At 37.1% G+C, this 27,857-nt stretch overlaps 1 pseudogene across 4 annotated transcripts in view; it reads left to right on the forward strand.

Annotated features, from left to right (window-relative positions):
* The first annotated feature begins 844 nt into the window (after positions 1 to 844).
* The window catches only part of SLC66A1LP (solute carrier family 66 member 1 like, pseudogene), a 57,783-nt pseudogene continuing 30,770 nt past the window's right edge, over positions 845 to 27,857 (forward strand). For 3 of the 4 annotated variants that reach the window (NR_166162.1, NR_166163.1, NR_166164.1), the window contains exons 1-2: positions 845 to 1,042; positions 10,763 to 10,873. The product of NR_166162.1 is annotated as a solute carrier family 66 member 1 like, pseudogene, transcript variant 1 (transcript). Of the gene's footprint in view, positions 1,043 to 10,762; positions 10,874 to 26,839; positions 27,435 to 27,857 lie in introns of those variants that run through there. The other variant, NR_024016.3, reaches the window with a different exon arrangement.

A 27,857-nucleotide genomic window follows, 5' to 3' on the forward strand; every position in this document is an offset into this window, starting at 1 on the left:
GGCATAGTACCTGGATATCTTGGGATTAGGGATAGAGGGGGAGGGCATTATTCAGTCTACAACAGAAAGCCTAGTTTTTTATTGTATGCAGTACAAAGTGTGTGTGTGTGTGTGTGTGTGTGTGTGCGCGCGCGCGCGCGCGCGCGCGCGGGCACATGTGATTGTGTGAGCTTGTGCATACGACTACGTGTTTACGTGTAGTGTGTGTGAGTTCGGTGTACTGCAACTATGCGTGTGCAGCCCGTGTGTGAGTGGGAGTGCTTTGACTGCTGCAGGGTGTGAGCACAGAGGGAACGCAGCTTGCAGTGGCGGGGGGCCGGTCCTAGGCCAAGTTATCGTCCAGTCACCTGCAGGGGTCACTGTTTGGTCCCGTTGTCGTGCCATCCTCTGCCCTGGCTTGCCCTCTTCTCCGCATCTGTGGGCCGCGCGGTAAGCGCGAAGAAGCCGGCTGCTGCGTGGCACACGGGCAAACTGGCGGGCTTTGGCCTTGGGCGCGGCCCGCAGATGCGTGCAGCATGCGGGGCTGTGGAGCGCTTATTGGTTTTTCTGTGTGAATCTGGGGGTTTTCAAAGAAGGGACAAGGCTGGACAGGACCTTAAATCCTGCTCCAGGCGGAGGCAGCTGTTGGCCAAAGTCTCTCCACCCCCATCCCCAGTCGGCTGGGGAAAAAAACGAGGCGGGGTGGGGGAGGTCGTGTCCCAGGGTTCTGACAGTGGAGCCAGGACGTCCGGGAGCTGACAATCTAAACGCGACCTGGGAAGGGGCGGTAGCGGGAGTGGCTGCTTCCTGGGAGGTGGTGCTCGCAAACCTGGCAGCTGACTGGGTGGGGCGTGCCTTCCCTGGCAGTCGCGGAGGGGAAGGCTGAGGGACCCGGTCCCCGCCCCGCGTGCTCAGGCTGAACAGCTTTTCTTCCCTGATCTCTCGGAGGCGCCGGCTGCTGGCCAACGCAGGGCAGCCTCCTGCGTGCGTGCTGTGGGTTTCTCCTTCAGTTTCCTCTCATTGCCTGAGGTTGGGCCCGAACACGGCGGTACATTTCCTTGAGGTTAGTAAACTGCCCCTGTGCCTCTCTGGATTTTGCATGGGTAATCTCGATATTCTTTCTGATGGGAAACCTAAGACCACCTTTGTACAGAATGACCCCCAGTCCACTGTGAATCTCGCTCATGAGTGTCTGAAAGTACCGGCGCGGGGTGGGGGCAGAGATGGGGTGGTGGAAAATTCAGCTTCTCCGGCCCAGGGTGCCGGCCCAAGTGGACCAAACTTTGAGAACCGTGCCGTAGAAACATGAGACTATCTTGAGGCCAGCAGGACTCCTGGAGCTCTTTCTCCTTTGTAGAGCGCTTGGTGAGATGGGAAGAAAGGCTACTTTGCCCAGTGAGCCTGTGCAATGTTGTGTGACCTCATAAGAGCATACCACTGCCAGTCCCTCCCCTCCGTGGCCTTATGATCTTGGGCAAGTCACTTAACCCCACCAAAGCCTGACTTTTCCCCTATCTCTGTGAGAACTGAAGACAAATCTGAAAATATCGCATACAGTGCCTAGCACGTTGCAGGCACTCAATAAATGCTATTTATTATTATTATTATTATTATTATTATTATTATTTTGAGACAGAGTCTCACTCTGTCACCCAGGCTGGAGTTCAGTGGCACAATCTCGGCTCACTGCAACCTCTGCCTCCCGCTACCAGCCATTCTCCTGCCTCAGCCTCCCAAGTAGCTGGGATTACAGGTGTGCACCACCACACCGGCTAATTTTTAAATTTTAGTAGAGACAGTTCCACCATGTTGGCCAGGCTGGTCTCGAACTCCTGGCCTCAAGTCATCTGCCCGCTTTGGCCTCCCAACATGCTGGCATTACGGGCGTGAGCCACTGCACCTGGCCTAATCATATTATTAAATTACATTGTCATCTTATTAAATAAGTCCTCATTGAATAGGGGTTTATTCAATGCATGGAAATAAGGAAAAAAGGTGGGAGATGGACAAGGGAGAGGTGTCATGGTTTAGATTTCATTCCTGGCCTGCAGGTACTTAACATCTATATGTGCTGAGAGAGGAGGCATCTCACCTGGTTGCCATTAATGGCATATGATGGCAGTGGTGGGTACTTTCAGGGGACAGAGATGTACAGAAAGTGTGTGATTTTGTGTTGGCCTATTTAGATGGGAAGGTTTCCAGCACCAAAAGTGCTGCATGGCTGATTCTCTGCATCATAAAGTGCTCAAGAAGAGTTTCCAGGCCAATAGCTCTCAAACACCCCTGCTTCACAATACTAAGAGCTACACCTAGCGTTATCTGACTGCCAAAGTGGGACAGGCATGGTTGTCTTCCAAATTACAGGGGTAAAAATTAAGTTAACAAAGCTGTCTTATTTTTAAGTTTTCCTCACACACATTTCTTAATGCGTTGATGCTTCTTACAACTTATTGGCCTGTGAGTATGAACAGAGGGCAAAACGAGTGACCAAGGAGCAGATGACTTGGCAAGATTCAGAAGCAGCTGTGAGATGTGGTAACTCACATTTTTTTCATGTTCCAGCTTATGATTTTTTTTTTTTTTTGAGACAAAGTCTTGCTCTGTTGCCCAGGCTGGAGTGCAGTGGAGTGATCTAAGCTCACTGCAACCTCTGCCTCCTAGGTTCAAGCGATTCTCCTGCCTCAGCCTCCTGAGTAGCTAGAATTACAGGCGCATGCCACCAGCCTGGCTAATTTTTGTATTTTTAGTAGAGATGGGATTTCACCATGTTGGCCAGGCTTGTCTTGAACTCCTGACCTCAAGTGATTCACCTGCCTCAGCCTCCCAAAGTGCTGGGATTACAGGCGTGAGCTACCGCGCCTGGCCTTAGTTTGTGATTTTTATACTCCTCACTTGTGTGATAAAGTTACATATCATATATTTCATGGAGTTTCTCAGAGAGATTACCACAATTTTGAAGACTCTTCTTCCTAAACCCTATTGAGAGCTTCGGCTCTAGAATTGAGATATAAATGACTGCTTGAGAGACTATGATCCCTTCTTGACCGCTTGGGAAAGACTCAAACTCTCTGAGTCGCAGTTTAAGCATATATAAGTTATTCATAATAATTTCTACTTTTGTGAATATTAGAGAATATAGATACAAAGTATCTAAAATTATTGGCACACAAAACATGCTCAATAAACAGCCCAACTGACATAAACAAGAAAGTCCCCAAATGACACAGTACGTGAACTATAGCAGAGCTTCTCACACTTTAATGTACATAAGAGTCATCTGGAATCTTGTTAAAATGCAGATTCTGATTCTCCGTAGGTCTGGACTGGGGCATTGCTAACAAGCTCCCAGGTGACGCTAATGCTGCTGCTCTGTAGACCAATATCAGTAGCAAAGAACACAACTTTACTATATAGCAGCAGCACAGGTGATGGGTGTTGAGAGATGGGCTTGACCAAGCAGCACCTTGTGAGAAGCTCTAGGCAGGAGATACAGGATTCATAGAGAGGAGGTCAAGGTATAAGGACCAATGTTGCATGTGGCAGTGGCTCTGTCTTTTAAATTGAATTTTACTCTTGAGTTCCCCAGGCTGATGGTTTTCTTTCCTTGCTGTTGATGTGGGTTGTGTATTGAAGTTAATGTAATTCCTAGCATTTCCTGTGCAGACTCCTCAGATGTTCTCTCCATATCACTGAGAAGGCTAGGATTTCTGAGGTTTGGCTCCAGCTGTCTGTAGGATATAGAAATAGGGAAGGAACCAGTCTTTTTTGTTGTTTTTTAAATGTTTTCATTTTTTTATTATTACATAATAGATGTACATATTTTGGGGGTACATGTTAAGATTTGATACATTCATATAATCAAATTAGGATAATTGGGATATCTATCACCTTAAATATTTATCTTGCCTTTGTGTTAACATTTGAATTGCTCTTTTCTAGCTATTTTGAAATGTACAATAGACTAATGTTAACTATAGTCATCCTACTGATCTATTGAACATCATATCTTATTTCTTCTATCTAACCATTTATTTATACCCATTCATCAACCTTCTTCTCCCTCTCCCCCACCCTTCCTTGCCTCTGGTAACCACCAATCTACTCTCTGTCTTCATGAGATCTTGTTTTAGCTCCCATATATAAATGAATACATGCAATATTTGTCTTTCTGTGCCTGGCTTATTTCTCTTTACATAATGACCTCTAGTTCCATTCATGTTGCTGCAAATGACAGGACTTCATTCTTCTTTATGGAGGAATACTATTCCATTATCTATAGTTACCATACTTTTGTTGTTGTTTTTGTTGTTGTTGTTGTTGAGATAGGGTCAGGCTGGAGTGCAGTAGTGCAATCATGGCTCACTGCAGCCTCAACCTCCTGGGCTCAAGTGGTCCTCCCACCTCGGCCTCCTCAGTAGCTGGGACTACAGGTGCATGCCCACCATACCCAGCTAATTAAAAAAAAATTGTAGAAATGGGGTCTCACTATGTTGCCCAGGCTGGTCTCAAACTCCTGGGCTCAAGCAATCCTCCCACCTGGGCCTTCCAAAGTGCTGGGATTACAGGTGCATGCCACCACACCCAGCCTGCATTTTCTTCATTCATTTATCTATTGATGGGCACTTAGGTTCATTTCATATTTTGGCTACTGTGACTACTACTGCAGTAAACATTGGACTACATATATCTCTTCAATATATTGATTTCGTTTCTTTTAGTTATATACCCAGTAGTGGAATTGCTGGATCATGTAGTAGTTCTATTTTTAGTTTTTTGAGGAAACTCCATACTGTTTTCTGTAGTGGAAATGCACTAATTTACATTCTTCTGGGTGTGTTTATCCAGTTTTCCCAGCACCATTTATTGAACAGACTGAACTTCCCCATCGTGTGTTCTTGGCAACTTTGTCAAAAATGAGTTGGGTGTAAGTGTATGGAGTTATATCTGAGTTCTATATTCTGTTTCATTGGTTTGTATGTCTGTTTTTATGCCAGTATCTTGCTGATTTGGTTACTGTAGCTTTTTAGTATATTTTGAAGTCAGGTAGTGTGTTGCCACCAGCTTTGTTCTCTTGCTCAGGATTGCTTTGGCTATTTGGGGTCTTTTATGGTTCCATATAAATTTAAGTTTTTTTTTCTATTTCTGTGAAGAATGTTATTGGCATTTTGATAAAGATTGCATAGAACCTGTAAATTGCTTGGGGCAGTATTTTCATTTTAACAATATTAATTCTTCTAATCCATGAACATGCAATCTCTTTTCTTTTGTGTGTGTGTCTTCGTCACTTTATCAGTGTTTTATAGTTTCATTTTAACAATATGAATTCTTCCAATCCATGAGCATGTAATCTCTTTTCTTTTTGTGCGTTTGTCCTCTTCACTTTATTTAATCAGTGTTTTATGTGTTTTTTAAATAGATCTTTCACATCTTTGGTTAAATTGATTCCTAGGTATTTTATATTCTTTGTAGCTACTGTAAATGGGATTTTTTTTAAACATTATTTTCAGATTACTTGGCATTGGCATATATAAATGCTACTGATTTTTGTATGTTTATTTTGGATTTGCAACTTTAGCTAATTCATTTATCAGTTCTAACAGTTTTGTGGTGTAGTCTTTAGGTTTTTCGAGATGTGAGATCATGTCGTGTGCAAACAAGGCTAATTTGACTTCTTTCTTTCCAATTTGGGTGCCACTTATTTCTCTTGCTGAATTGCTCTGTGTAGGACTTCCAGTACTATATTGAATAAAAGTGGTGAAAGTGGGCATCCTTGTCTTGTTCCAGATCTCAGACAAAAGGCTTTCACTTTTTCCCCATTCACTATGATGTTGGCTCTGTGTTTGTCATATATGGTCTTTATTATTTTGGGATATGTTTCTTCTATACCCAGTTTGTTGAGGCTTTTTACCATAGTAGGTTGAATTTTATTGAATGCTTTTTTTGGCATCTATTGAAATGATCATATAGTTTTTGTTCTTGGTTCTTTCTGTTAATATGATGTATTACATTTGTTGACTTCTGTATGTTGAACCATCCTTTCACCCCTGAGATGAATCCCACTTGATCATGATGTGTGATCTTTTTAATGTGTTGTTGAATTCAGTTTGCTGGTATTTTGTTGAGCTTTTATTTTTATTTATTTATTTATTTTTGCATCTGGGTTCATCAGTGATATTGGCCTGTAGTTTTCTTTTTTTGTTGTATCCTTGTCTCGTTTTGGTATCAGGGTAATTCTCGACTCATAGAATGAGTTTGAAGTACTCTCCCCTCTCCAGTTTTTTTGAAGAGTTTTAGGAGAATTCAGTATTCATTCTTTCAATGTTTGGTAGAATTCAGCAGTGAAATTATCATGTCCTGGGCTTTTATTTAATTGGAGACTTTTTGTTATTGTTTTGATCTCATTACCCATTATTGGTTTGTTGGGGATTTCTATTTCTTTATGGTTCAATCTTGTTAGATTATATACATTCAAAAAGTTATCAATTTCTTCCAGGTTTTCCAATTTGTGGGTGGATAGTTGTTCATAATAGTCGCTAATTATCCTTGTGGTCTCAGTTGTTAGGTATCTTTTTTAATTTCTGAATTTGTTCATTTGGGTCTTCCCTATGTGTTTTTATTTAGTTTAGCTAAAAGTTTGTCAATTCTGCTTATCTTTTTAAAAAACCAACTTTCATTTCATTGTTTGTACTTTTAAAAATATCAACTTCAGTTATGTCTGTTCTGATTTATGTTATTTCTTTCCTACTACTATTTCTGGGTTTGATTTGTTCTTGTTTTTCTAGTTCCTTGAGGTGCATCATAAAGTTGATTATTTGAAGTATTTTTACTTTTTTAATGTAGATGTTTATTAATGTAAACTTCCTTTTTAGTATTGCTTTTTCTATATTCCATAGATTTTGGTGTTTGTATTTACATTCTTATTTGTTTCAAGAAACTTTTAAATTTCCTTCTGAATTTCTTCCTTGACCCATTGGTTGTTCAGAAGCATGCTGTTTAATTTCTATGTGTTTGTGTAGTTTCTGAGATTCCTCTTGTTATTGACTTCTAGTTTTATTCCATTGTGGCAAGAAAATATACTTGAAATGATTTCTTCTTATTTGAATTTTTTGAGACTCATTTTGTGACCTATGATACATTATATTCTGGGGAATGTTCCCTGTGCTGATTGAAAGAATGTGTTCTGCAGTTGACGGGTGAAGTGTTCTGTGAATGTCAAATAAGTCTATTAGGTCTTGAGTGTAGTTTAACTCTGAGGTTTCTTTGTTGGCTCTATGTTTGGTTGATCTGTCCACTACTGAGTGCAGTGTTGAAATCCCCTACTAGTACTAATTGCCTACTGTGTGGCAATCTACCTCTCCCTTGGTAGATCTGTTTGCTTTATATACTTGGGTGCTCCGATGTTGGGTGCATAGATATTTATAGTTGTTATATCCTCTTGCTGAATTGACCCCTTTATCATTATATATTGACCTTCTTTATCTCTTTTTACGGTTTTTGACTAGTAGTCTATTTTATCTGTTATAAATATCGCTATTCTTGATCTTTTTTAGTGTATCTTTTTCCATCCCTTCACTTTCAGTATATATGTATTTTTATAGGTGAGGTGGGTTTCTTTTGGCAGCGTGTAGTTTGGTCTTGTTTCTTTATCAATTCAGCTATTCTGTGTCTTTTAATTGGAGGCTTGAATCCATTTATATCCATGTTATTATTGATGAGGACTTACTACTGCCATTTTGTTTCTTGTTTTCTAGTTGTTTTGTAACTCCTCTTTTCCTTTCTTACTGTCTTCCTTTTGCGGTTAAGATATTTTCTCTGGTAGTATGTTTTAATTCATTGCTTTTTTTATTTTAGTGTATCTATGATAGGTTTTTGCATTGTGGTTACTATGAAGCACACAAAAAACATCTTTTAGATAATACGAATTATTTAAAAAAATGACAACTTATCTTAGATCACAAGGGAAGAATAGAAACAAAGAAAGAAAAAACTAAAAAAAAAAAACTCTAAACTTTAACTCCATCCCTCCTCCCCATTTTGACACTTTGTTGTCTTTGTTGACATGTTTTAATGTTACCCATCTCTTAATAGGTTGCTTTAGCTATTCTCATTTTTGATAGATTTCTCTTTTGGGCTTTATACTAGAAGTAAGAGCAGATTGTACATTGAAATTACAGTATTGGATTTTTTTGAGTTGTCTTTGTACTTAATTTTACCTTAAGTTTTTCTTTTTTGCACGTTATTATTTTTTATTTCAGATTAAAAAACTCCCTTTAGCATTTCTGTAAGACAGTCTGATGGTGGTGAATTCTTTTGGCTTTTACTTACCTGGGAAAAACTTTATCTCTGCTTCATATTTGAAGGATAACTTTGCTGGATATAATATTGTTGGATGACAGTTATTTTCTTTCAGCACTTTGAAAATATTGTCCTACTCTTTCCCATCCTGCATGGTTTCTGTTGAAAAGTCTGTTGCCACACTAATTGGAATTCTTTTATATGTTATTTCTTCTTTTATCTTGCTGCTTTTAGGATTCTCCCTTTGCCTTGACTTTTGAGAGTTTGATTATTATATGCCTTGGGGTAGTCTTACTTGGATCAAATCTGGTATTCTCTGACCTTCCTGTATCTTAATATTTGTATCTTTCTCGAGTTTTAGGAAGTTTTCTGTTATTATTTCTTTAAATAAGCTTTCTGCCCCATGCTCTTGCTCAATACCCTCTTGAACACCAATAATCCTTAGATTTGGCCTTTTGAAGTAACTTTCTATGTCTCGTAGGTAATCTCCATTCCTATTCATTCTTTTTTCTTTTTTTCTCCTTTGACTGTGCATTTTCAAATAGCTTGCCTTTGAAATCACTGATTCACTGATTGTTTCCTCTGCTGTATCCATTTTGCTGTTGAGAGCCTCTACTGAATTTTTTCAGTTTTGCAAATGTATTTCTCAGTTCCAAGATTCTGATTTTCAAAATTATTATTTCAATCTCTTTGTTAAATTTCTCTGAGGAATTTCTAAATTTCTCTTCTGTGGTTTTTTTTTAGAGATCACTGAATGTCATTAAAACTACTGTTTTGAAATCTTGACTGGAGAGCTGACATATCACCGTCTTGTTAGGGTTAGCCACTGGTTTCTTGCGTTGTCCATTTGAGGAGGTCATGGTTTCCTGATTGTTGATTTTCTTGTGGATGTACATCTATATGTTCACATTGAAAGATTAGTTATTTATTCCAGTCTTCTCTCTCTAGCTTTAGTTTTTATTAGATATAGATGCTTGGAGATTCTTTGTAATTTACCTATTAAATTTCTTAATTTTTTCCCTGCTAGGTCACTGCCTCCTTTTTGATACTAGATGATATTGAAATCCCAGTTTTGCTCAGCTCTAACAAACGATTGGACCACTGTGTGTCCTGAGTGGGGCAGGTCTCAAGAGGGATATCCCAAAACAGTGTGGGAAGGCTGGCTGAGTTTCATGCTCAGAGGAACTTTGGAACATACCTGCTGTAACACGGTGCTGCTCAGCAGCCATTCTTTTGGCTGAGTTACAGAGCAGTTTTCACGGATGGGAGTGGGTGTTCCACCTTCTCCCATTGTTTCTGGCTGTCTTAAGGATATTTCTTCCTTCAGGCACTCATGATGCTTCCTGTGGGTTGAGGCAGGGACAGGCCTCCTACCAGAGAACTTAAGATGGTAGAGAAGCTTGTCAACCTCAGTTTCACTTTTTCTAGTGTAGAAACCATGAGTCAGGGGGAGTTTTTATGTGTTTGATGCTGGGCAGATTTCAGGAAGAGGTGCTGCAGACATGAAAATCTGATTGTCTTACCATCAGCATGGAGCTCTTTTCATTTCTCTGTGGCTCTGGGACCTGACTAGTACTCACAATTGAGTTCTGGGATATTATTAGTGATAATCTCAGTGCTGTATATATATTTTTTGGTTTTCTGTAGTGGAGAATGAAGTCAGCTTGCTTCTATGCCACCAGTTTGTAATCCAAGGAACTAATCTTATTAAGTCCCTACTGTTTTCCAAGCACAGTATTGTTTGCTTTACATATGTTCTCACATTTACTCTTCACTCATAAATACGGGAATTGATGCTCAGGATTTCACTTAATAAAATCATTTGATAAAAAATGGCAGAGACAAAATTTTAACTAGATCTATGTCCTATCCCCAAATTAATGCTTTGCCTTCTAAACCTTGTTGCTTTATCATTCACATCTTTATAGAAATAATTTTCTTATGGCAGTTAAGTATTATTTGGTGCCTTATTAAAAGTAGAACCATGCCCTCCATTAATTCTGCTGAGCCATGTTGATGTTTTATGCCAGATCATAAGGAAGGGGCAGAGTGGAGTATGGAAACAAGAGTATTATCTGACTTGGAAGACTTGGGGCCTGCTTTTCCCCTTGTTCTGACACTGAGAAAGAAACTGTTGTACTACTAAGATGGGGAAAGCCAACCACAGATATCTCAGATATGGCAGTATGATGGCTTTTCAGGAAAGGAGAGAAATTAACAAGACAGAAAAGTTATCTGTAGCAGTTTAACAAATAGCTTTAATGAAGTGAGGAGCAAAAAGTAAATATATATATATATATATATATATATATATATATATATATATATATATATATATATATATGCTCCTTCAGCAAGTGGGCAAGGTAAGATTTAAAAACATTTTGAGTAAATAAGATGAATAGGAGACCAGAGATTCATACTGGGCCAGTTTACTAAGACACAGAGATCCATGCTTCCCATTTTGAAAATACTGTCTTCCTTACAGAGTCTTCTACATTCATGCTGTAGAAGCTATGAAAGTCGTGGGAAACTATAGAGTCAACACTGCAAACTCAAGCACTGATACGTCCGGAGAGCACTTGACCTGCCTTAGAAGGTATGATATTGTGATTATACACATTAGATTTTATTCATGGTTTCTGCCTCATAACTCCCATAGCCCTTGTTATAATGTTGGGGTGCTTTAGGCCTCAGAAGTTGGCTTCAGAAAATAGAATCTCTCTCTCTGACCTTCTTCTGCTTGCCTTTCACCTGCTTCTTTTTCTCCCCCAGGCAGGCTTTTCAAACTAAAAATATACTCTATCCCTTACCTTTCTGTCTAGGAGCTGATCTTAAAGAAATTCTTTGACTTATCTTGTCTGATTGTGGGTCATAAGACCCTCATTTCAGAAGGGGTCCTGCTCCATACCTGAAGGAAGGAATGTATACAGAGAGGCCATGAAGAATCTGAACAGAAAAGGCCTGCTGAGTTTGTCCATTCAGTCTATTAGTATTAGATTATGCACTTTTTGTCCAGTTACATTTCTATACAGTTGTCAATTATCGCTGTCCAGTGAAGTGTCTGTAAAAGGATCAAGAGAACAGGGTTTGGAGAACTTCCAGGTAATTGAACACATGGAAGTTCCTGGAGGGTGCTGCACCCAAGAAGGCATAGAGGTTCTGTGCCCCTTTCTCCATACCTTGTCCTGTGCATATCTTCTATGTGGTGTATATGGGTATCCTTTGCAATATTCTTTATAATAAACTGGTCAACATAAGTTAAATGTTCCCCTGAGTTCTGTGAGCCACTTTAGCAAATTAGTGGACTCTGAGGAGGAAGTCAGAAGCACATGTAAAGCAACCTGGAGCTTGCAATTGGCATCTGAAAGGAGGGGACAGTCTTGGGAACTGAGCCTTCAACTTGTAGAATCTGACACTATTTCCAGGTAGACAGTGTCAGAATTGAACTGAATTAGAGGACACCTAGCTGATGTCTGCACAGAATTGCTTTCTTGCTTGTTTGGTGTCTGGGGACAAACAAACACCACACATTTGGTCACATAATTCTGTGTTTGTTGGTGTGACAGAAGAGGAAGGTCAGTTTGTGTTTTTTCCACTCAGGGAAGGTGAAGCTCCTTCTCAGCTCCAGCCCATTGCAGTTGTGGAAAAACTACCTCAGTTGCCAGATCTTCCCATTTCTAAGAGAAGCCCACATTTTCTACTGATATTTGGAATTGCCTTGTTTTTAGATATTGACAATAAATTTTTTAAATTTACAACCAAAGCTCAGAAAATTACCCAGTTCCAAGCTATATTAGGCCACAGCCCTCTGGTATTTGCCTGCAAAATAGATCTTAGGAGAGAAGGATACAAAATTGAAGCTAGTACCAGAAGAGGTTCAGGAGGAGTAAGGTGTGAACTGGGTGTACTGCCTTGGCAAGGTGGCCTGTGATTCCTGGCCCCACCAGTGCCTGTTTCTGGGTTGTCAGGAAGGACCTTATTTCAGATCCTAGTTTCTAAGCTCCTCTCCTACCCAAGGTGGGTCCCAAGGCAGCCCTCCACTGTCTGGCTTTAGATAAGACCCTATAGCAACAAGCCAATGGATGACCCTCTCAGACCTATTGTTATCTGTATGTGATCTTCAAGGCTGTGGTAGAGAATTCCCTTGTAAATAGAATGCAAAAGCAAGTGGGAAAATTTTCTTTTTTCTGTGTCAATCAATAGTGACCATTAGCCTTCTCCCCATCCCACAAAATGCCTCTTCCTTGCAAGAACAAGATACTGTAGCCTGGAACTTTGTTTGATGGAGATGAGGTACGTACTGAGGTGCCCTAGAATAAAGAAAAGTGGAAATCTCTCTGGATGAGATCCTCATGCTAGACTGTAGCCCAAGGACCAGCAACACTGACCACAGGAGTAGAAATGTTTATGATGCTTGACCTACATTGTCTGTCATTGATGTCTGTGCGCTTGGCAATTTGTATATGGTGATCAGACATCACCAGGTCTCATACCTGTACTCTATTATGAGTTCAAGACTCTCATGAAGTCAGTGAGAAGAATAGAAAGTAGGATGCTATATGATATTTGAACAGTATAGAACAGAGTATAAAATTTTTTTGTGTGTGCTATGAAAATTCTTTATCTGATACTTCTAACTTTGTCTTAATGTCTTTCATTCAGTGACTTCTGTTAAGTTTGCTCTTATATGGTCTGAGGAAATTGTGAAAGTGTGTTTTTTAAGCAAGGGAGAGAGTCAGTACAGAATTTCTGTTGAGTACTATTTACCTTTTTGGTGTATGAATGACTTTGATCATCAGTATAATGATTGCGATCTACAAAGATTGGATTTTATTTAGAATTTCTGGGAAAATACTAATGTCATAGCACATCACTGTGGAAGGAGTGCTGTAGAACTTTTTACAGAAACCTATTTAGCACTTTAAATGCCAGCAGATTTTTTAAGGGTTACCTAAACTATCAACAACCATAACAAAATCTGTTTTGCCACCCTACCATGGTGGCTGTGTAATTTGTAGATGAATTCTGGTCAGAAAGCTGAACTGACCTAAATATAAGTATATCCTTTGATGCCTAAATTGCATCTTGAATTTCTAATAACAGGATGGCACATATGAAATATTCGCAAGAGCCTACTAACATGCTTCATAGACTAGCACTTACTGGCTGTGGTGGATTGATATTGCTGTGTGTGATGTGTGAGATGTGTGAGCTTTCTCCTTTTATACTAGCAAACAATTTAGAAGAGTTTAGAAAGATTGAAACTGTCTGAATATTTGTGTCTGAATGAGAATTTTGGAATAAGACTGGTTTGTTTTTAAGAAAAAGATATTTAATAACACAATTATATCCCAATTCTTGTAACAAATGTCCAAAAGTCAATGGAAATTAATTTTTCTGTCCTCTGTACCCTTCATACCATTTTTTTAGAAAATGACTTTATCAGAGAATAGAAAAACAACAGGGTCAAAATAAAAACAAAAGATAATTCTTTGAAGAATTCAACAAAGTGACAAATCTTTAGCTAAACAAACTAAAAAAAGAAGAGAAGATACAAATAAATAAAATCAGAAATTAAAGTGGGAACATTTCTACTTACCTAACAGAAATAAAAATGATTACAAGAAAATAGTGTGGACAATTGTAGGCCACCAAATTAAATAGGCTGGATGAAATGGACAAATTGCTAAAAACACAGAATCTACCAAAACTGACTCAGAAAAAATTAAAATTCTGAACATATCTGTAACAACTAAAGAGATTGAATTAGTAATCAAAGTTGTTTTCTTTTCAACAAAGAAAAGTCCAGGATTAAATGGCCACAATGGTGAATTCTACCAAGCATTTAAAGAGCATTGACATCAGTTCCTTTCAAACTTTTTCCAAAACATAGAAGAGGAGGGAACTAACTGATCCTATGAAACCCACTTTAACCTGATAGCAGAGCCAGACAAAGATAACCACAAGAAAAGAAAACTAGGGATCAATGCCCCCTCTGAATATAGATACAAAAGTCATTAACAAAATACTAGCAATCTGAATTCAACAGCATATTGAAAAGATTGTACACCATGGCCAAGAGGGATTTATTGCAGGAATGCAAGGGTGGGTCAACATAAAATTCAATGTAATGTTACATTGAAAATTAATCAATGTAACACACCATGTTAATAGAACAAAGGAAAAATGCCACATGATCATCTCAATTGATGTTAAAAAATGCATTTTACATAATCCAAAACATTTTCATCATGAAGATACCCAGACAGCTAGAAACACTGGGGAACTTACTTAATATAATAAAGGGAATTTATGAAAAATGCTCAATGGTGAAAGACTGAACTTTCCCTCTAAGACCAGAAATAAGACAAGGATATCCAATTTCACCACTACTGTTCAAAATTGTACTGGAAGATCTAGCTAGGTCAATTAGGCAAGAAAAAGAAGTAAAAGGCATCCAAATTGGAAAGAAAGGAAGACATCCAAACTATCTTTTTTTACGGATGACATGATCCTATGTATATAGAAAATAAAAAAAAACTACTATAGCTAATAAATGAGTTACCAAAATCTTAGGGTACTAAATCAACACCAAAATCAGTGTGTTTCTACACAACAACAATGAACAATCTGAAAAGGAAATTAAGAAAATAATTCCATTTACAACAGCTTCCAAAAGAATAAAATACCTAGGAATAAATTTAACCATGGAAATAAAAGACTTGTACACTGAAAATTACAAAACATTGCTGAAACAAATCAAAGAAGAACTAAATAAATGAAAGGACTATGTTCATGAATTAAAATGCTTAATATTGTTAAGATGCAATACTACCCAAAGTGATCTATAAATTCAATGAAATTCTTATGAATATTTTAACAGCCTTTTTTTAATTTACAGAAATGAGAAAGTTAACCCTCAAAGCCATATAGAATTGCAAGGAGCTCCAAAATGCCAAACAATATTGAAAAAGAAGAATAAAATTGGAGGACTCATAATTTCTGACTTCAAAACTTAACTATAAAGCTACAGTGATAAAAACACTGTAGTACTGTATAAAGTAGACATAAAAAATCAATGGAAATAAACCAATACATATATGGCTAATTGATTTTTGACAAAGATGCCAAGACTATTCAATAGGAAAAGAATGGTCTCTTCAATAATGTTTCTGGGATAAGTACACATGCACACACAAAAGTGAAATTGGACTCCTACTTTACACCATATGCAAAAATTAACTCAAGATGGATCGGTGGCCTGCATGTAAGTGCGAAACCTTAATACTCTTAGAAGAAAACATTGGGGTAAGTTTTTATGGCCTTGGGCTCAATAATGGATTTTTAGATAGGACACCAAAAACTTCAGCAACCAAAGAAAAATGAAATAAATTGACCTTCCTAAAAATTAAAATCCTTTGTGCATCAATGAATATTATCAAGAAAATGAAGACAATTCATAAGATGGGAGAAAATATTTGCCAGTCATATATCTCATAAGGGTCTAGTATCTATATTACATAAAGAACTCTTACAACTCAAAAAGAAAAAGACAGACAGCCCAATTTTTAAATGGCCAAAGGACATGAATAGATATTTCTCTAAAAGAATATACAAATGTTCAATAAGCACTTGAAAAGATATTCAAAATCATTCATCATTAGTTATTAGGGAAATGCAAATCAAAACCACAATAAGATAGCATTTCACATCCACTAGGAAGACTATAATTTTAAAAAATGGAAAGTAGCAAGTGTGGACAAAAATGTGGGGAAACTGGAAACTCTACTATTTGGCTGGTGGAAATGAAAAATGGTTTAGCGACTTTGGAAAACATTTTGATTGTTCCTCATAAAAATAAGTAGGTTTACCATATGACCCAACAATTCCACTCCTGGATATAAATGCCAAAGAATTTAAAATAGGTGTTCAAACAAATCTATGTACATACATGTCCACAGCAACACTATTCACCATAGCCAAAAGGTGGAAACAACCTAAATGTTCAGCAACAGATGATGGATAAACAAATTGTTGTGTATGCATACAACGGGATATTATTCTGCTATAAAAAAGAATGAAGTGTTGATACATGCTACAATGTAGATGAACCTTATCAGCATTATGCTAAGTGAAAGAAGCCAGACACAAAATGTCCCATAGTATATGACTTTATTTATATGAAATATTCAGAATAAGTAAATCCATAGAGATAGAAAACAGATTGGTGGTTGCCAGGGGCAGTAAGATGGGGAATTAGGTATTACTACTTAATGGGCATGGAATTTCTTTTAGATGGTGAAAATATTTTGGAACTAGATAAAGAATATAGTTGCCCATCGTCATGAATGTACAGGAAACCAGTAAGTTGTACACTTTAAAATGGCTAACTTTACATTATGTAAATTTTACCTCAATTTTTAAAAATCTACTTAGGAATGATTCTCATGTACTAAAATGCACCCAATTTAAATGCATGTCAATAAATTTTGACATATATACAATTTCATGTAACAACCACCTCAATCAAAATATAGAACATTTCTATTCACCTGAAAAGTTTCTTTGTGCTCCTTTTCAGTCATACTACCACCTTGAACTCCTAGCCGGACAAACACTGATCTTTTTTTCTCACACCATATATTAGTTTTTCTTATACTAAAACATTTATAAATCAAGTATGTGCTTACTTTTTGAAGGCTAGCTTCTTTCACAGTATGTGAGATTTGTCCAATTTGTTGATACATCAGTAATCCATTCCTTTTTAATCCTAAACAGATTCCATTGTATGACTAAGACACAATTTTTTTACTCAGCTATCTATTTGTGTTGTTTCCAATTTTTGGCAATTATGAATAAAGCTTTGATGAACATCTGTGTACAAATCTGTGGTTGGTATGTTTTTATTTCTTTTGGGTAAATTCCTACAAGTGGAATTGCCAGATCATAAGGTAAGTATATATATGTTTAGCCTTTTTTTTTTTTTTGTTTGAGTCAGAGTCTCATTCTGTTGCCCAGCCAGGCTGGAGTGCAGTGACATGATCGCAGCTCACTGCAACCTCTGCCTCCTGGGTTCAAGAGATTCTTGTGTCTCAGACTCCTGAGTAGCTGGGATTACATGCATGTGCCACCAGCCCAGCTAATTTTTGTAATTTTAATAGAGACAGTGTTTCGCCATGTTGGCCAGGCTGGTCTTGAACTTTTGGCTTCAAGTGATCCACCCACCTTCGCCTCCCAAAGTGCTGGGATTACAGGCGTGAGCCACCATGCCCAGCCTGCTTTATTTATTTATATTTTTAAGCCAGCCTTTTTTCTGAATACTTGAAACATTTTACACTCCATCAGTTGGGTATGAGTGTCATATGTTCCAAATCCTCACCAAGAGTTGGTATGATCAGTCTTTAATTTTAGACATCATAAGAGGTGGGTAGTTGTATCTCATTGTGGCTTTAATTTGCATTTCTATAATGTTATATGATGTTGAGCTTATTTTTACATTCATTTGCTATCCATATGTCTTTGGTGAAGTATCTGTTCAAATTTTTGGCTCATTTTACAATTTTTTTTTATTATTGAGTTTTAAGAGCCCTTTATATATTCTGGCTACAAGTTCTTAATTAAATATGGGATTATTCAAATATTCTCTCCCAACTTATGGCTTGTCTTTTCCCTCTGTTGAAAGTATTTCAAAGAGCAGATGTTCTTAGTTTTAGTGAAGGCCAATTTATCTTTTTTTTCTTTTACATTGTGCTTTGGTGTCTTACCCAAGAAATCTTTGCCTAATTCAGCATCACAAATTTATTACTCTGTGTTTTTTTTCTAGATGTTTCATAGTTTTAGATTTTACATTTGGCCTGTGAGGTATTTGGAATTAATTTTTGTATAGAGTATGAAGTATGGATGGAAGTTTCTCTGTGTATAAAGTATCTGGGTTATTTTTTGTTGTTATTTTTCCTGGCAGCTTTTAAGATTTTTTCTCATTATTATTTTTATTACTGGGTTGTAGCATTGTGATTTTGATATGCCTTAGTATGGTTTTCTTTTATTTTACTGCTTGCAGTTTTTTGGTTCTTGAATTTGTGGATTGACATTTGTAATCATGCTATTGTAAGAGATATTGATACTTTAATTTCAATTTTCAATTATTTGTTGCTGGTGTGTAAAAATAAAATTTGATTTTTATATATTGATCTTGTACCCTGCAATATACTAAACTGACTTGTTAGTTCTAGTAGTGTTTTCATAGATTCTGTAAGTTTTCCTTCAGAGAGAAACAAACCCATTGTCTGTGAACAAAGACAGTTTACATCTTCCTTACATTCTGTTTGTCTTTAATTTCTTTTTTTTTGTGTGTTATTGCCCTGACTCCAACCTCTGTTACCATGTTAAATAGAAGTGGTGAGACCAGATTTCCTCACCTTGTTCCTGATGTTACAGGGAGCAGTTTTTTGTATGGGCCTAATTTTGCCTCACTATTAAGGCAAAACTTTTCTTAGTACTCTACCCAATGTGTTGTGAGTTATTAGTTTTTCCAGTCTGAATAGTGAAAACAGGCACTAGTCCTGGCTCTGCTGGAGATCCAGAGAGTTTTCCTTCTAATCTTTTAGGATGTTTTTCCTCTTGATCTTAGGTAGTTCCTTTACATGGATATACTGATAAGTATTTAGTTGATGATTTGAGAGGGATTGTCCAGAGGTCTCTCTTTGTGCAGTTCTATCCTTGCTGGTACTCTATTCTGCAAACTCTAGCTCTGTGGCCTCCCTGAACTCCCAGTTCTTTCTCCTCAGGGCGATCTCCTGACATCCTGGCTTTCCAATATTTGTAACACAACCTTAAGACTCTCTCCAGGCAATAAGTTAGGGTAATCATAGGGTTCATTCACCTCCTTTGTTTGAGGTTTCTCTGGGTTCTCTGTTCTTCATTGCCTGATGTCCAATGCCCCTAAATCATTGTTTCATATATTTTGTCCATTTTGTGATTTCAGGCATGACGGTGAATGTAATCCCAACTTATCACTGTTGAAAGCAGATGTCCCAAATATCTTTTGTTATTTCTTTCTCATTTATTTTTGTTGTGGCCAAAAAACATAATCTGTATTATTGTGATACTTTAAATTTATTGAAACTAGTTTTATGCCCTATCATGTGATTTCTCTTGATGAATGTTCCATTTACTTGAAATGAATGTATCCTCTGAACATTATAATGTGTGTAATGTTCTATAAATGTCAATTAGATCAAGCTGGTTGATAGGGTTTTTTTGTGCCTTCTCTACACTACTGTTTGTTAAGAAGACATCCTTGCTGAGTCAATAAGAAGTTAGCTAACAGCACTGTTCCATCAATCACTGAGAGAGAAGAATTGAAATCCTGAATATAGTACTGGATTTGTCTTATTTCCCCTTTTAATTCTTTCAGTTTTGCTTCATATATTTCAAGTTTCTATGTTAGGTGCATAGACAATTAGTATTGCTATGTCTTCTTGAGGAGTTGACTTCTTTATCATTATAAAATGTCTCTTTTTTCTTTAGTAATATTTATTGTTCTGAAGTCTACTTTTTCTGAGTATTATAGCCAACTTATTTTTCTTATGATTTGTATTTTATGGTACACTTTTTACAAAATCTTACTTTTAACTTTTTTTTTTTTTTTTTTTTTACCATGTTTGTATTAGTCCTTTTTCATGTTGCTGATAAAGACATACCCAAGACTGGGAAGAAAAACAGGTTTAACTGTATTTAAAGTTCCACATGGCTGGGGAGGCCTCAGAATCATGGTGGGAGGTGAAAGGCACTTCTTACATGGTGGCAGCAAGAGAAAATGAGGAAGATACACAAGCAGAAACCCCTGATAAAACCATCAGATCTCACAAGACTTATTCACTACTGCAAGAACAGTGTGGGGGAAACTGCCCCCATGATTCAAATTATCTCTCACTGGGTCCCTCTCACAACATGTGGGAATTATGGGAGTACAATTCAAGATGAGATTTGGGTGGGACACAGAGCTAAACCATATAATTCCACCCTGGCCCCATCCAAATCTCACGTCCTCACATTTCAATACCAATCATGCCTTCCCAACAATCTCCCGAAGTCTCAACTCATTTCAGCATTAACCTAAAAGTCCACAGTTCAAAGTTTCATCTAAAGCAAGTCCCCTCCACCTATGAGCCTGTAAAGTCAAAAGCAAGCTAGTTACTTCCTAGATACAATGGGGGATACAGGTATTAGGTAAATACGGCTGTTCCAAATGGGAGAAATTGGCCAAAACCAAGTGGTTACAGGGCCCATGCAAGTCCGAAATCCAGCAGGGCAGACAAATATTAAAGCTCCAAAATGATCTCCTTTGACTCCACATCTCACATCCAGGTCACACTGATGCAAAAGGTGGGTTCCCATGGTCTTGGGCAGCTCCGCCCTTGTGGCTTAGCGGGGTAAAGCCTTCCTCCCAGCTGTTTTCACAGGCTGGTGTTGAATGTCTGTGACTTTTCCAGGCAAACGGTGCAAGCTGTCAGTGGATCTAACATTCTGGCATCTGGAGGATGGTGACCCTTTTCTCACAGCTCCACTAGGCAGTATCCCAACAGGGACTCTGTGTGGGGGCTCTGACCCCACATTTCCCTTCTGCACTGCCCTAGCAGAGGTTCTCCATGAGCGTCCTGCCCCTGAAACAAACTTCCACCTGGGCATCCAGGAGTTTCCATGTTCTGAAATCTACGTGGAGGTTCCCAAACCCCAATTCTTGACTTCTGTGCACTCTCAGGTTCAATACTATGTGGAAGCTTCCAAAGCTTGTGGCTTCCACCCACTGAAGCCACAGCCTGAGCTCTACGTTGGCCCTTTCAGCCATGGCTGGAGTGCCTGGGATGCAGGGCGCCAAGTCCCTAGGCCACACACAGCACAGGGACCCTGGCCCTGGCCCAGGAAACCATTTTCTCCTAGGCCTCCAGGCCTGTGATGGGAAGTGCTGCTGTGAAGATCTCTGACATGCCCTGGAGACATTTTTCCCACTGTCTTGGGGATTAACATTTGGCTCCTCATTACTTATGCAAATTTCTGTAGCTGGCTTGAATTTCTCCTTAGAAAATGGATTTTTCTTCTTTCCTTTTTTTTTTTTAAGACCGAGTTTTGCTCTTATTGCCCAGGCTGGAGTTCAGTGGTGGCACGATCTCGGCTCACTGCAACCTCTGCCTCCCGGGTTCAAGGGATTCTCCTGCCTCAGCCTCCTGAGTAGCTGGTATTACAGGCGCCCACCACCACGCCACCTGGCTAATTTTTTTATTTTTAGTAGACACGGGATTTCATCATGTTGGCCAGGCTGGTCTCAAACTCCTGACCTCAGGTGATCCACCCACATTGGCCTCCCAAAGTGCAGGGATTACAGGTGTGAGCCACCATGCCCAGCTGGATTTTTCTTTTATATCACATTGTTAGGCTGCACATTTTCTGAACTTTTATGCTCTGCTTCCCTTATAAAACCGAATGCCTTTAACAGCACCTAAGTCATCTCTTGAATGCTTTGCTGCTTAGAATTTCTTCCTCCAGATACCCTAAATCATCTCTCTCAAGTTCAAAGCTCCACAAATCTCTAGGGCAGGGGCAAAATGCTGCCAGTCTCTTTGCTAAAACAGAACAAGAGTCACCTTTGCTCCAGTTCCCAAAAAGTTCCTCATCTCCATCTGAAACCACCTCAGCCTGGACCTTATTGCCCGTATCACTATCAGCATTTTGGTTAAAACCATTCAACACGTCTCTAGGATGCTCCAAACTTTCCCACATCTTGCTGTTTTTCTTCTGACCCTTCCAAACTGTTCCAATCTCTGCCTGTTACCCAGTTCCAAAGTTGCTTCCACATTTTTGGGTATATTTTCAGCAATGTCCCATTCTACTGGTACCAATTTCCTGTATTAGTCCAATTTCACACTGCTGATGAATACATACCCAAGGCTGGGAAGAAAAAGAGGTTTAATTGTACTTACAGTTTCACATGGCTGGAAAGGCCTCAGAATCATGGTGGGAGGTGAAAGGCACTTCTTACATGGCAGCGCCAAGAGAAAATGAGGAAGATGCAAAAGTGGAAACCCCTGATCAAACCATCAGATCTCTTGAGACTTATTCACTACCGTGAGAACAGTATGGGGGAAACCGTCCCCGTGATTCAACTTATCTCCCACCAGGTCCTTCCCACAACATGTGGGAATTATGGGAGTACAATTCAAGATGAGATTTGGGTGGGAACACAGAGCCAAACCATATCAATGTTCATGTTTTCTTGTAGCTTCTTCAACATATGGAATATATCTATAACAATTAAATGCATGCTAATTTCAACATCTCTATCATTTTGGTGTCTGTTTCTATTGACTAATTTGTTTTTCTTCATTATTGGACACATTTTCCTGCTTCTTTGCATGTCTTCAATATTCAGTTGGATGCTGGACATTATGCTCAACAATGTGACAGTCTTCCTTGAAAACTTTAAGAGTATTGGTGTTTACTTGGGCAAGCAGCTACCTTATTTGAAAATAAGTTTGATAATTTTAAGGCTTGTTTTTAAACTGTGTTACAGTGGGTCTAGCATAGCCTCTACAGCTTGTTTACCCTTACTCTGAAGGCACAGTCTTTTTGGGTGCTTTATGAATGTTTCTTGTCTTCTAAATAATCTCTTTCCCCTGCCTGTTCAGAACTCAAATGTCTCTTAGTCCTGTGTGAGCCGTAGTAGTTTTTCTGTTAATAGTACCCCGGTAGCTTTTCTCTCCCTGGTAGTTGTTTTTTGCCTGACTTAAAGGAGTTTTGCCCTACTTTGCCTTCCTATTCAGCCAAAGGCACAGGTAACCTATGTGCAGATTTCTGGAGTTCTTTTTTGGAGCTTCCTCCTCTTTAGAACTCTGAACTATAATTTCTGTTTCTCACTCTCACAATGTTTTATTTATTTTTTTTGTTGTAAAAATCACCTCACATAAAATTAGCCCTATTAATACATTTTTAAGTGTAAAGTATTTTTAACTATATGTGCATTGTTGTACAGCATATCTCTAGAACTTTTCCATCTTGCATTGCTGAAACTCTATATCCATTGCACAGCAATTTTCCACTTCCCCCTCCTCACACCCTTGTAACCACCATTTGACAATTTGCTTCTATGAGTTTAACTAGTTTAGATACCTCATATAAGTAGAATCATGCAGTATTTGTGCTTTTGTGACTGCTTTATTTCACTTGGGATAATGCTTTTTTCCACAAGAGTTTGAGAAGGATTGGCATTAACTTTTTAAGTGTTTAATAGAATTCTCCAGTGAATCCTTCTGGTCTTGGGCTTTTCTTTGTTGGCAAGTTTTTGGTTACCGATACAAACTCCCTACTTATTGTAGGTATAGTCTTGTATTATATTTGATCAAGATTCAGTCTTGGTAGGTTGTATATTTCTAGGAATTTGTCTATTTCTTCTAAGTTAGACAATTCATTCACATATAATTGTTCATAGTGGTCTTTCATAATCTTTTTTATTTCTGTGACATCAGCTGCAATGTCTTTTATTTTTGAGTTCATTTATTTAAGTTTTCTCATTTTTTATAGTCTTGCTAAGTAAGAGTTTGTCAATTTTGTTAATATTTTTAAGAAATCCTTAGTTTTGTTGATTTTTTCTTACTGTCTATTCTGCTATTTAATTTATTTTTTCCTAATTGTTATTATTTTCATCCTTCTGCTAACTTGGGGCTTTATTTGTTCTTCTTTTTCTAATTTTTTTGAGGTGTAAAGTTAAGCTGTTTATTTGAGATTTTTTTTAATGTAGGCATAAAAGTTCTTTCTTAGTACTGATTTTGCTGCATCCCATAAATTTTGGCATGTTGTGTTTCCATTTTCATTTGTCTCAAGGTAATTTCTAATTTTCCTTTGGTTTATTCTTTGACTCAATTGTTATTCAGCAGTATGTTAGTTACCACATATTTGTGAATTTTTCAGTTCTTTCTTCTGCTATTGTATTGTAGTTACATTTCATTGTAGTTGGGAATAATACTTGGTATGATTACAATCTTAAATTTGTTAAGGCTTGCTTGTGATCTGAGGTGATTCATCCTGGAGAATCTTCTGTGTGCTCTTGAAAAGAATATGGATTCTGCTTCTCTCGGATGGAATGTTCTGTATATGTCTGTTAGGTCCAGTTGGTCTATAGACTTGTTCAAGTTGTCTTGTCCCTTATTAATCTTTTATCAGGTTTGTTGTATCCATTATTGAAAGTGGGGTATTGAAATCTCCTACTATTATTGCACAAGTATTTCTCCCTTCAGTTCTGTCAATGTTTGCTTCATATATTTGGATGCTCTGATTTGGGTGCATACAAACTTATAATTGTTCTATTTTCTTGATTAATTAATCTTTTTGTGGTTATATATTGTTCTTCTTTGTCTCTTATGACAGATTTTGACTTAAATCCTATTTTGTCTGACACAACTATGGTCACATCTGGTCTTTTTCAATTACCATTTAAACAGATTATCTTTTCCCATCCTTTTACTTTCAGTCTATGCATGTCCTTAAATCTAAAATTGGTCTCCTATAGACAGTATATAGTTGAATCTTTTTTCAAAATCCATTCAGTGACTTTATGGCTTATTTGAGGAGGTTAATCCATTTATATATAAAGTAATTACTGATAGTAAAGTACTTATTATTAACATTATATTAATTATTTTATGTTTATCTTGTAGATTTTTGTCCCTTGTCTCCTCCTATCTTTCTTTGTGTTTCATTGATTTTATTTTTCAAGTGGCACATTTTGATTATTTTCTCTTCTGTACTTTTTATAGATGTTTTCTTTGTGGTTACCATGGGACTTACATAAACTATCTTATATTTATGACAATCTATTTTATGTTGATAACAACCTTAACATCAATTGCATACAAATACTGTATTATCTTACTTCTACTACCCCACATACTTTATATTATTGATTTCCCAAATCACATCTTTTTATATTGTGTATCTATTAACATTTTAGTTATATTTATTTTTCATACTTTTATTTTTTTAATTAAATACCAGAGTTAAATGTTATTTATTCACCATCATTACAGTATTTCAGTATTCTGCATTTGTCTATATATTTACCTTTTCCCATGAGTATTATACTTCCATATTCTTTCATGTTGCTTTCTAGCATCCTTTTATTTCAACTTGAAGGACTCTCCTTAGCGTTTCTTGTGAGGCAGGTCTAATGGTGATGAATTCTTTCAGCTTTGGTTTATCTGGGAAAGTCTTTATTTCTCCTTCATTTCTGAAGGACACCTTGTCAGATAGCATATTTTTAGTTGGAAGTTTTAACCTTTTAGTACTTTGAATATATCATCCCACTTCCTTCTGGCCTGCAAGGTTTCTGTTGAGAAATCCACTGATAGTCTCATGGGGGCTCCCTTGGACATGACTCTTTTCTCTTGCTGCTTTCAAAACTCATTCTTTGTCTTTGAATTTGACAATTATACTGTGTCTCATTGTGATCTTTTTTAAAATTTTTAATTTGTATTATTTTTTACTTAATTGATGTACATAATTGATGTATATGTTTATGGGGTACATGAGATACTTTGATTCAGGAATGCAATAAGTAATACTCGCATCATGAAAAATGAGGTATCCATATCCTCAAGCATTTATCATTTATGTTATAAACAATCCACTTATACTCTTTTAGTTATTACAAAATGTACAATTAAATTATTGTTGGCTATAGCCACCCTGTTGTACTATCAAATGCTAGGTCTTATTCATTCTGTGGGTTGGCTCTTCACTTTTCTTTATAATGTTCTCTGATGCACAAAAGCTTCTAAATTTTGATGAAGTCTAATTTATATTTTCTTTTGTTGCTTGTGCTTTTGGGGTCATGTCTAAGAATCTGTTGTCAAATCCAAGCTCATACATATTTATCCCTATGTTTTCTAGATTTTATAGAGTTATATAGATTCTCAAATTTAAGCTTTTTATCTATTTTGAGTTAATTTTTTTATGTGATGTGAGGTAAGAGTTCGACTTCATTCTTTTACATGTAGTTATCCAGTTGTCCCACTGCTATTTGTTGAAAAAAGTATTCTTTCCTTATTGAATGGTCTTGGCTCCCTTGTCAAAATCAATTGACCATAGATGTATGGTTTTATTTTTGGATGCTCCATTCTATTCCGTTTATCTATATGTCTTTTCTAATGCCATTACCACACTGTTTTGATTACTATCTTTGTCATACATTTTGAAATTATAAAGTATTATTTCTCGAACTTTATTCTCTTTATTCAGAGTTGTTTAGACTATTTGGTATTCTTTGCAATTACATATGAATTTTAGGATCAACTTGTGCAGTTTTGTAAAAGAGGCAGTTGGAATTTAAAGAACTGCATTAAATCTGTAGATTACTTTGGGTAGTTTTGCCATCTTAACAATATTAAGTCTCCCAATTCATGAATATGGAATGTCTTCCTATTTATTTAAGTCTTCTTTAATTTCTTTCAACAATGTTTTCTAAGAAAAAATATTACACAATATTTATTTTTTTTACATTTAATTTTTACAGATTTGAAAACAATTTGTAGCCAACTTCAGTATGAATCAAAGCATTGTTTTAAAAGGAAAGATTCCTTCTGACATTAAATTGCATTTTCCAAGAACCAGCAACATCAACCATCCAGACTTTAATTATGGAATCACAGGTGCAACTGCGTATCTCCTCAGTAGAGGACAGGAAGATTTGTGTGACTGGGACTTTATGGATTTGGCATCTCCTGCAAGATGTGTGTCCAACTCCTGGGAATACTGTAGCATGATTATAGAATTGGTTTCTATTGTCTGTTTTCTGTTTGTTGCTCTCTCATAAGTTAAGAATCTTGGATTTCAAGTCTATAGTGTAACACTCTTGTTCATAATTTCTTATTTAAAAAAATGTTTAAATATTTCTATATTAAGTATTTTTTCAAACTATTTGGGCTTGCTATTGAACAAATGTTCTCTTTGTATTGTATATTTTGAAGGTGCTAAAAAGCATCACTAAAACATTTTGGAATATAACAGAAAGATGGTTAATACATTATACTGACTACTTTTTTCTCAATTAAGATATACAAATCTTTTATATTTAGTAATCAGAAAGGCAATAAAGCATATGTACCTTACCTCTTCACCATCCTATGTTGAATTCCTTTTCAATATGTTCTTTGATAAGAGTAAAAATTTAAATAGTCTTTGGTGAGATATTGCATTATGCTATTCTTTTCTTCTGGGCATGGGGATAATTTTTTTAAAAAAATCCAAGCAGTTTAGTCCTACAGGGGAAAGTTTTCCATTCTTGCTAAGTTTATTTATAACTAGAAGTCAGATACCAACTACATCTACCCTGGAAAAAAAATCTCAAGCAAAAGAGAGCTGCCTCAAAGGAATTTGTAAAATATGTGTGCATAGATAGGTCATCTGTTTATAAAGTACTGGGAAAAGGTAGAGAATACAGTCAATCCTCAGATGCTTTGGAAATCTGAAACATAAACAAAAGTCTTTTGAAAGTCACATTGGTATATATACCACCGCTTAATGGAAGAATA

This window comes from Homo sapiens, chromosome 3, assembly GCF_000001405.40.
Source record: "Homo sapiens chromosome 3, GRCh38.p14 Primary Assembly".
Taxonomy (NCBI): Eukaryota; Metazoa; Chordata; class Mammalia; order Primates; family Hominidae; genus Homo; species Homo sapiens.